We start from the raw sequence: 11,018 nt of genomic DNA, 5'->3' as shown, positions 1-11,018 counted from the left end.
TCCTGAGGGCTCCCTACAGACCTCATAGGGTATCTTCCCAGGTCCTCCAGAGCCCATTTTTATCTACATACCCCCACCTATTTCTGTGATTCTGCTTCCATTGGTTCTGCTGGGTGCCCTTGGCAAAATATTCTTGAGTCCAGCTAGGCTCCTGCACTGCCAAGGGATTCCTCAAGAGGCACTGCCAGCCTTCTTGGTGCAGCCTGCTGCCTGTACTGGGTGCCTGTGGGAACAATGCAGGATTGTATAAAACTCGTAAACAGTTTGCTTCATGCAATTCTGATGGTACCTCAGAGAATCTGGGCCCCCTTGATCATGGCTTGGTTTGACTGTGCAGCTTTCTTGCAAATAACTCGAAAACACTTGAATATTACCTCCACTCTCTGCTCTATGATCCCATAGTATCAGATTATTGAAGGCCACAGATCAAGTGGGTTCTCCTTGCTTCATTGTGTAGACTGAACTCTAAAACTCAGAGAAGTCCAGTGAATTTCTCCCAGGAAAAACTAGATAAGGGATCAAGTGCCCAATCTAGTGGCCAACTTCTCCCTGAGCACAGAGAAGAACATAAAGGGGAAGAGAGAAGCGCGTACCAGTGAAAGCCTGGGTCATCTGCTATTATTTGGGCTTCTAGAGCTGAGGCTTTGCTTCTCATTCCCAGGATAATGTCTTCCCAGACCAAATTTTGGAAGGCAGCTTTCCTAGCCCTGGCATAGAAGACTGGCTGGCTGGCAGGCAGGCAGTATATTATGTCCTATGTACTGTGGCTAGAACTTTCCACACCCAACTTCATGCCGATTGGCTAGACTATGCCTTTCTGGCCAAGAGAACCGAGGGCTGAGGGCCAGAGATGTCACATACTTTGAGCTGGCAGACAGGGGTAGAGAGTGGAGGGTGATCTTCTGCCTTTCCTGAAGGTTCAAGGAACAATGGGAGGATGGATAGGGGCAGGCCATGGGGTGTATTTGTGAGGGGGAGATGCCCGTGGCTTGGGATGGAGTAAAGAGTAGCCTGGAAGCCAAAATAATCACATGAAAAATCTCAGCTAAAGAATGCCTGAGGAGCACCACATAGCTACTAGCAATGTGAAGAAACAAGCTGTCCACAGAACCCACCTCCACCAACATAAAAACTTGGCCAGCTTTTGCAGGGTTGCCCCTGCAGGGAGGATGCTTGTTTGATGTGATTTCTGAGCAAAGTAGAAATAAAACTAGTATTATTTCTGGGGAACCAATGTTATTTGTTCAATTTGACTGATGGGATACTGAGACAATTTTCCCAATGGCACCTAGCAAGCAAAGACCAGAGCCATCTCTAGAGAATGCCTGTCTCCAGACTCTTATTGCTTGGAAGTTGCTTGGGAGGTTGTTCTGCTGTGAAAAAATGTGTGAATAGAGAGCCTTTGCCCTGAGCAACAACAGCCGGGGGCTGGGGGAGGATGGACAGGCTTCGGGCTGCTGTAGCCCAAGTTTTCAACCTTCTACACTTCTCAGGTTAAGTAGGAGGCCGCTATTTGAAACCCAGGGCAGAGGCAAACTTCCGGCAGTTTGTAGGATCAGTGGGGTTCCAAATTAGTCAGTAACTAGTCAACATGGTGAAACCCTGTCTCTACTAAAACTATAAAAATTAGCCAGGCATGGTGGTGCATGCCTGTAATTCCAGCTGCTCGGGAGGTTGAGGCACAAGAAGTGCTTGAACCTGGAAGGCAGAGGTTACAGTGAGGCGAGATGGTGCCACTGCGCTCCGACAGATCTCAAAAAAAAAAAAAAAAAAAGATTACACAAGATACTGAACATAAAATTCTTACCATAGTGCCTATGCTCAAGTATAATAACAATAATAATAATAATCACCAGATGGGGTGACAGAGTATCTCTGCAAATGTTTGATAAGCATTTAAAAAATAGAGGCTGAACTTTAGTGATCTCTAGAACCAACACCTTTCAGATCCAGGATTCCTATACTTCCCCTGAACCTGCCTATCTTTAAAATGGAGCCAAGGATATGTGCTTTGAAGAAATGTTGAGACTCTTTGAGACACACCTAGCAGTTTCTTTGTGTATTTGTTGTCTTCTAACATCTCCACCAGCACCTCTGGGTATGTCTATCACTAGGGTGACCAATCACCAATCATCCCGGTTTGCCAGGAACGAAGAGATCCCAAGATGTGGGACTTTCAGTGCTAAAAATGGGTACGGCCTGGGAAAACCAAAACAAGTTGGTCAGCCTACACCAGCACTGGAACACTGCCTTAAGCATTGTGCTTGAAGCAGTTGCCTCAAGGGCTGCCAACAACAAAAGCAGGTGTTAGGTTCCCCTTGCTGAAATCACTAAATGGGAAGTCCCCAAAGCCCCCCATTCCTCTGCTCTTTGAAATATCACGCCCAGGCAAGTAGGGTTGTCAGATAAAATACATGATGCTCAACTCAATTAAATTTGACTTTCAGATAAACAATGAATAATCATTTAAGTATATCCGAAATACTGGATGGGTCATACTTATACTGAGAAATTGCTCATTGTTTGTCTGAAAGTCTAATTTAACTGAATGCCTTGTATTTTTATTAGTGAATCCGGCAGCCCTACAGGCAAGGGCAGTCTGCTGTGGCAAGACAAGCTGGCTTTTGGGGTGTGAGCCACGAGAATGGCTAGGGAAATCTCACACAGGAAATCATGTTCCCTATGGACACACCTTCTTCTCTGCATCTCAGCCCTCAATCTCTTCATCTTGTGAGCCTGCCCTGGGCACCCCAGTCATGCTTTGTTCTGGGGAGGATCATCTGGGGCAAGGCAAGATGAGATGGGTCCTGAAGCAGGATACATAATCCATAATGGTTAGGAGTTTAGGCTTTGTAGGTAGCCAAATTGGGTTCATATCCCCCCTCAGCCTGGGACATAGCACAGTAAATGGCAATTCCCTGTTAATACTTAGAGGCCACCAGGCACAGTGGCTCACACCTGTAATCCCAACACTTTGGGAAGCCTAAGGGAGGAGGATCACTTGAGGCCAGGAGTTCAAGACCAACCTGGGCAACATAGTGAGACCCCCGTCTCTACAAAAAATTTAAAGATTAGCTGGGCGTCATGGTGCATGCCTGTAGTCCCAGCTACTCAGAAGCTGATGTGGGAGGATCACTTGAGCCCGAGAGGTCAAGGTTGCAGTGAGCCCTCATTGTGCCACTGCACTCCAGCCTGGGCAAAAAAGTGAGACCCTCTCTCAAAAAAAAAAAAAATTACTTAGTTGCAGACCTTTGTCTTTTCTTTTCTCTTCTTATCCTGTATCTAGCACTTTGCCAGACATCGAGGGGAAAACAGAGAAATGAGATGGTTTCCGGATGCAACCCTTGTTCTGAGAGAGCTTACAGCCTCCTCTGGAAGGAATATTACAGGCGTTAACAAAATGAAAATTCAGACAAAACTAACATTGAGCACCTATGCTGTGCTTGCCCTGCCCTAAGTGCACAAGTAAGCCAAATGTCAGCAGAGTGTCATCCTGTCCATTCCAGTTCAAATATAATTGGTTCAAGTTCCATGTTACCCCTTACCAGGGAAGTCCAGTGTCTTCCTCAAGATTTCTGAGAATTCTGAAAGGGCTCAGAATCTGAAAAGGCTCATCCTGCAACATAATGAGCAGAACAGACTTATTCTAGTCCTACTACAAATTACAACCTCTTTTTTTTTTTTCCCCAAGACAGGGTCTCACTCTGTCACCTAGGCTGGAGTGCAGTGGCGTGATCTCAGCTCACTGCAACCTCTGCCTACGGATCCCATGTGATCCTCCCACCCCAGCCTCCCAAGTGGCTGAGACTACAGGCACAAGCCACCACGCTTGGCTAATTTTTTGTATTTTTGTAGAGATGAGTTTTCGTCATGTTGCCCAGGCTGGTCTCAAACTCCTGAGCTCAAGCAATCTGCCCGCCTCGGCCTTCCAAAATGCTGGGATTACAGGCGTGAGTCACCATGCAGGCCCAGATTACATTCTCTAAACAACCTCCTGATCAGCAAAATCTTGGCAATGGTGAAAACCTGTATATCATTGATTAATTATCTGCAGCTTGACTTTGTCGGCCCTTGGCTATAAGGGAGGCACTAAGAAAGAAACAAGCAGCCCCCTGTCAGCTAGGACCTGGCCTGGCCCTATCAGTTGGGACTTACTGTTCTACTGCTAAACAATTTCACAGAATATCAACATCAGACAAGGCCACTCCGTGACCATGATGGATCAAGACATAACAACACCACTGTGTAATCAGATCTGAACACAGATAAAACATAAACAGTGTTTAAACCATAAACGTGATCAAACTTCCCTCTATTCTGGGGAATATGAATGGCTGCTTCTTCTTTAATTACATCTTTATCTTTGCTCTAATCATCCGTCCTTATAGATAGCACTTATTGAAATACCCAATTATAGAACTACCCTGCTTCCTGACAGCATCCAATCAAGAGTAAAGCCCCACTTCCTTAGACCCTCCCCAAAATCACTTAAATCCAAATCCTATAAGTCATTCCTAACACTGTCTTACTGAGGTTCCCCGATTCCTCATAGTGTGCACTCTCCCTTACTGCAATTTATTATCTCACTTTTATCCCACAAGAAAGAAATGATGGTCACCCCCATTTTACAGATAATAAAAGTGAGGCTCAGAATTTAACATTCCCAAGACTGATCAGCTAGTCAGCTGAGAAACCATACAAGAACTAGGACTTGCTTTTTGCAGTGTGCCACACTGCCCTTAAAAGAGTGCTTAAAGGGGGATTCTATTACATTCCTGGCTATTTCTCTAAAGAAAATTTCATTTTCCAACAGTCTGCATCTTACTATTAGTTGACATATTGGCATATCATCCCTTCCATGATTATCCCTGGCCACTTTGCTCTCATTTACCTGGCACACTATAGTTGCTCATTTAACTCTGTGTGTGTGTGTGTGTGTGTGTGTGTGTGTGTGTGTGTGTGTGTGTCTGGAGCTGTGCCTGGTTACTAGAATCACCCCGACCATATCTGCACAGAACAAAAACAGGCAGAATCTTTTTCTTCAGGTCCCTTCCAGGCTGGCCCTAACAGAGCTGAGAACTTGGCAGGCTATGGTGAGGCTGCTGCTAGCTCAGCACAGGAGTTTCAAGAGAGCGTGAAGAAAGGGGCCCAAGCTGCCTCTGCAGAGCTTCTGACTGTTTAGTGCTGACAGTGGAAAATCACCATCAGTCATCCAGCAAAGATGGAGTGGATTCTTACTGCCATCAGCCTCCTGCCCACCATGTGCTGGACACAAGAGGAGCAGGAAGGGGTTCAGAAGGGGTATAACATATGGCTTCTACTCTGGGAAGCTTACCTCAGCCTCCCCTACTGAGACTGTCTCCTGCCTTCTCTTGTTTCCTTCTCATGTGGGACCAAGTGTTGAGATGCTAAAAGAAATACTCCTGGGGGCAGAGGGTAGATATGCTGGCGGATGTGGGCATGAAGCACAGGCATAAGAGACCTTAGATGAAAACTGTAAGCATTCGGGTCGGGGGCAGTGGCTCACTCCTGTAATCCCAGCACTTTGGGAGGCTGAGGCGGGTGGATCACGAGGTCAGGAGTTTGAGACCATCCTGGCCAACATGGTGAAACCCCATCTCTACTAAAAATACAAAAATTAGCCAGGCGTGGTGGCGGGTGCCTGTAATCCCAGCTACTTAGGAGGCTGAGGCAGAGAATTGCTTGAACCTGGGAGGCAGACTTTGCAGTGAGCTGGGATCGCACCACTGCACTCCAGCCTGGGCGACAGAGCAAGACTCCGTCTCAAAAAAAAAAAAAAAAAAAATGTAAGCATTCATTGACCTAGGCATGTCAGCTCTAGGATAAAGACCAGACAAGAAGGTCTCCAGGGCTGGGGAGGTGAGAGAAAGGGAAGGAGGAGAGGAACAAAGTAGGGAAGGAGGAGGGCAACAAAGTTTTAGGCATTTTATGCAGCAGGGGCTTAGGGACAGCTATCTGAAATGTGTCTTAGGGGAACAAGGGAGTGTGCCTTTTCCCTTTTTTGAATTATGCATTCATTTTGGGTGGCTTGCTGAGCAGTTGGTAGCTTGTATCAGTAAAAGTAGAGCTAAAGCTGCTCTAAGGTGTTGTGAAAGGAAAATAAATCTCAGGACCCCAAAGTCACTAAGCCCGGGGAAGAGTCAAGCTGGGAATTATGTCAAGCAAACCTGCCTCCCATTTTATTCCTAAGTAAGATAGCTACAAAGATAAAAAGCTACATACCTCCCTCATAATTTGTCACAAGGAAATTTCTTGTGGGATTCAAGATCTTTACCCTAAAAGAGCTCTGTTTAATTTCACCCTGGCAATGTAAACTGATAGCTTATCTTCATAGGTACCAGAAAACAGACAGAACTCAAAGTTATAGCTCCGCTCACCTGAGACAAATGCATATCTGATCACGTCCTCTGCCTTATTGTTTATGTAAAAATGCAGATTCACAAAGCCAGACTAAGGCATAAGTGATTACTCCTCTATCCACCTCTCACATGTAAATTGTGTATTCAGTGAAAGACTAATCAGAGACTCAAAAGAATGCAACCATTTTTCTTTTATCTACCTATGACCTAGAAGCCCCCTTCTTTGACTTCGAGTAGCCCGGCCTTTCTGGACTGAACCAATGTACATCTTACGTATATTGATTGATATCTCATGTCTCCCTAAAATGTAGTATAAAATCAAGCTGTGCCCCAACCACCTTGAAAACATGTTGTCAGAACTCCTAAGGCTGTGTCACAGGCACGAACTTAAACTTGGCAAAATAAACTTTCTAAATTTATTGAGATCTCTCTCAGATACTTTTGGTTCACAGTGTCATGAGAGTGACTCCTTCCCTGGGCCAGGCAGGAAACCGAGGAAGCTAATGAGATGGGACCAAGGAGGAGGGTCTGGAGTTTTGAGAAGGGGCTGCCAGGTTCCAAACTGTGTCAGATTCAGTGCCTTTTTCCTGAGAATCAGCTGAGTCAGTGGCTGCTATGGGCTGTCCGAGATTGTACTCAGAACCTTCCCTCAAGGGCACTGTGGCTGCTAGGGGTAGAGATGTGTGCTGGACAGAGCCCACATGTAGGAGCTATAAGCACAAGACATCCTCTCCCCACAAAGCCCTAGCCTAGTGTTAGGCCTCTGAGCCCAAGCCTGCACGTATACGTCCAGATGGCCTGAAGCAAGTGAAGAATCACAAAAGAAGTGAAAATGGCTGGTTCCTCCCTTAACTGGTGACATTACCTTGTGAAATTCCTTCTCCTGGCTCATCCTGGCTCAAAAGCTCCCCCACTGAGCACCTTGTGACCCCCACCCCAGCCAGCCAGAGAACAACCCCCTTTGACTGTAATTTTCCACTACCTACCCAAATCCTGTAAAACAGCCCCACCCCTGTCTCCCTTCTCTGACTCTCTTTTCGGACACAGCCCGCCGGCAGCCAGGTGATTAGAAAGCTTTATTGCTCACACAAAGCCTGTTTGGTGGTCTCTTCATACAGACGCATCTGAAATTTGGTGCCATGACTCGAATCGGGGGACCTCCCTTGGAAGATCAATCCCCTGTCCTCCTGCTCTTTACTCCATGAGAAAGATCCACCTACAACCTCTGGTCCTCAGGCCAACCAGCCCAAGGAACATCTCACCAATTTTATATCCGGTAAGCAGCCTCTCTTTACTCTCTTCTCCAACCTCTCTCACTATCCCTCAACCTCTTTCTCCTTTCAATCTTGGTGCCACACTTCAATTTCTCCCTTCTCTTATTTTCAGTTTCTTTCCTTTTCTGGTAGAGACAGAGGAGATGCGTTTTATCCGTGAACCCAAAACGCCGGCTCCAGTCACGGACTCGGAAAGAAAGTCTTCCCTTGGTGTTTAATTACTGTGGGGACGCCTGCTTGATTATTCACCCACATTTCAGAGGTGTCTGATCACCATGGGGACGCCTGCCTTGATCCTTCACCCTTAGTGGCAAGCACCACTTTTTGGGGGTCAAGCACCCCCCACCCTTTCTCTCTGTGTCTCTACCCTCTCTTTTCTCTCTACTTTCCTGGGGGGCAAGCACCCCCCACCCCTTCTCCACTTTCCTGGGGGGCAAGCATCCCCCACCCCTTCTCTCCATGTCTCTACCTTCTCTTTTCTCTGGACTTGCCTCCTTCACTATAGGCAGGCTTCCACCCTCCATTCCTCCTTCTTCTCCCTTAGCCTGTGTTCTCAAGAACTTAAAACCTCTTCAACTCACACCTGACCTAAAACCTAAATGCCTTATTTTCTTCTGCAATGCTGCTTAACCCCAGTACAAACTCGACAGTGGTTCCAAATAGCAAGAAAACGGCACTTTCGATTTTTCCATCCTACAAGATCTAGATAATTCTTGTCATAAAATGGGCAAACGGTCTGAGGTGCCTGACATACAGGCATTCTTTTACACATCGGTCCGTCCCTAGTCTCTGTTCCCAATGCAGCTCCTCCCAAATCTTCCTTCTTTCCCTCCTGCCTGTCCCCTCAGTCCCAACCCCAAGTGTTGCTGAGTCTTTCCAATCTTCCTTTTTTATGGACCCATCTGACCTCTGCCCTCCTCCCCAGGCTGCTCCTCACCAGGCCAAGCCAGGTCCCAATTCTTCCTCAGCTCTGCTCCCCCACTCTATAATCTTTTGATCACCTCCCCTCCTCACACCCAGTCCAGCTTACAGTTTCGTTATGTGCCCTCCCCCACCAGCCCAGCAATTTCCTCTTAAAATGGTAGCTGGAACTACAGGCATAGTCAAGGTTAATGCTCCTTTTTCTTTATCCAACCTCTCCAAAATCAGTTAGCGTTTAGGCTCTTTTTCATCAAATATAAAAACCCAGCCCAGTTCATGGCTCATCTGGCAGCAACCCTGAGACGCTTTACAGCCCTAGACCCTAAAAGGTCAAGGGCCGTCTTATTCTCAATATACATGTTATTACCCAATCCGCTCCCAACATTAAATAAAACTCCAAAAATTAAATTCCAGCCCTCAAACCCCACAACAGGACTTAATTAACCTCACCTTCAAGGTGTACAATAATAGAGTAGAGGCAGCCAAGTAGCAACATATTTCTGAGTTGCAATTCCTTGCCTCCAGTGTGGGAGAAACCCCAGCCACATCTCCAGCACACAGGAACTTCCAAACACATAAACCGCAGTGGCCAGGCATTCCTCCAGGACCACCTCCACCAGGAACTTGCTTCAAGTGCTGGAAATCTGGCCACTGGGCCAAGGAATGCCCACAGCCCAGGATTCCTCCTAAGCTGTGCCCCATCTGTGCAGGTACCCACTGGAAATTGGACTCTCCAACTCACCCGGCAGCCACTCCCAGAGCCACTGGAACTCTGGCCCAACGCTCTCTGACTGACTCCTTCCCAGATCATCTCAGCTTAGCGGCTGAAGATTGATGCTGCCCAATCACCTCAGAAGCTTCCTGGACCATCACATACGCTTTGGGTAACTCTTACAGTGGAGGGTAAGTCCGTCCCCTTCTTAATCAATACGGAGGCTACCCACTCCACATTACCTTCTTTTCAAGGGCCTATTTCCCTTGCCCCATGACTGTTATGGTTATTGATGGCCAGGCTTCTAAACCTCTTAAAACTCCCCAACTCTGGTGCCAACTTGGACAATATTCTTTTATGCACTCCTTTTTAGTTATCCCCACCTGCCCAGTTCCCTTATTAGGCTGAGACATTTTAACTAAATTATCTGCTTCCCTGACTATTCCTAGGCTACAGCCACACCTCATTGCCACCCTTTTCCCCAGTTCAAACACTCCTTCACATCCTCCCCTTGTATCTCACCACCTTAATCCACAAGTATAGGACACCTCTACTCCATCCATGGTGACCGATCATGCACCCCTTATCATTCCATTAAAACCTAATCACCCTTACCCAACTCAACGCCAATATCCCATCCCACAGCAGCCTTTAAAAGGAGTAAAGCCTGTTATCACTTGCCTGTTACAGTGTGGCCTTTTAAAGCCTATAAACTCTCCTTACAATCCCCCCATTTTACCTATCCAAAAACCAGACAAGTCTTACAGGTTAGTTCAGGATCTGCACCTTATCAACCAAATTATCTTGCCTATCCACCCCATGGTGCCAAACCCATATACTCTCCTATCCTCAATACCTCCCTCCACAACCCATTATTCTGTTCTGTGTGGCAAACATGCTTTCTTTACTATTCCTTTGCACCCTTCATCCCAGCCTGTCTTCGCTTTCACTTGGACTGACCCTGACACCATCAGGCTCGGCAAATTACCTGGGCTGTACTGCCACAAGGCTTCACAGACAGCCCCCATTACTTCAGTCAAGCCCGAATTTCTTAATCTGTTACCTATCTCGGCATAATTCTTCATAAAAACACAGGTGCTCTCCCTGCCGATCCTGTCCAACTGATCTCTCAAACCCCAACCCCTTCTACAAAACAACAACTCCTTTCCTTCCTGGGCATGGTTGGATACTTTTACCTTTGGATACCTGGTTTTGCCATCCTAACAAAACCATTATGTAAACTCACAAAAGAAAACCTAGCTGATGCCATAGATCCTAAATCCTTTTCCCACTCCTCTTTCCGTTCCTTGAAGACAGCATTAGAGAATGCTTCCACACTAGCTCTCCCTGACTCATCCCAACCCTTTTTCATTACACACAGCCGAAGTGCAGGGCTGTGTGGTCGAAATTCTTACACAAGGACTGGGACCGCTCCCTGTGGCCTTTTTATCCAAACAACTTGAGCTTACTGTTTTAGCCTAGCCCTCATGTCTGCATGCGGCAGCTGCCTCTGTTTTAATACTTTTAGAGGCCCTCAAAATCACAAACTGTGCTCAACTCACTCTCTACAGTTCTCATAACTTCCAAAATCTATTTTCTTCCTCACACCAGATGCACATACTTTCTGCCCCCCTCCACTACCTCTCAGCAAGCCGAACTCATTGCCTTAACTAGAGCCCTCACTCTTGCAAAAGGACTACGCATCAATATTTATACTGACTCTAAATATGC

At 46.6% G+C, this 11,018-nt stretch overlaps 2 annotated features.

Moving 5' to 3' along the window:
* Positions 6,594-7,245: an enhancer, noted in NCBI's record as "OCT4-NANOG-H3K27ac-H3K4me1 hESC enhancer chrX:103022123-103022774 (GRCh37/hg19 assembly coordinates)". NCBI's record gives its function as "activates a minimal SCP1, AML or CMV promoter by ChIP-STARR-seq in naive H9 embryonic stem cells {active_cell/tissue: H9 hESC(naive)}" and the evidence as "EXISTENCE:reporter gene assay evidence [ECO:0000049][PMID:30033119]".
* Positions 7,898-8,549: an enhancer, noted in NCBI's record as "H3K27ac hESC enhancer chrX:103020819-103021470 (GRCh37/hg19 assembly coordinates)". NCBI's record gives its function as "activates a minimal SCP1, AML or CMV promoter by ChIP-STARR-seq in primed H9 embryonic stem cells {active_cell/tissue: H9 hESC(primed)}" and the evidence as "EXISTENCE:reporter gene assay evidence [ECO:0000049][PMID:30033119]".

This window comes from Homo sapiens, chromosome X, assembly GCF_000001405.40.
Source record: "Homo sapiens chromosome X, GRCh38.p14 Primary Assembly".
Classification (NCBI taxonomy): Eukaryota; Metazoa; Chordata; class Mammalia; order Primates; family Hominidae; genus Homo; species Homo sapiens.
The sequence above is the reverse complement of the archived record's forward strand: the minus strand, read 5'-3'. Positions and strand labels throughout refer to the sequence as shown.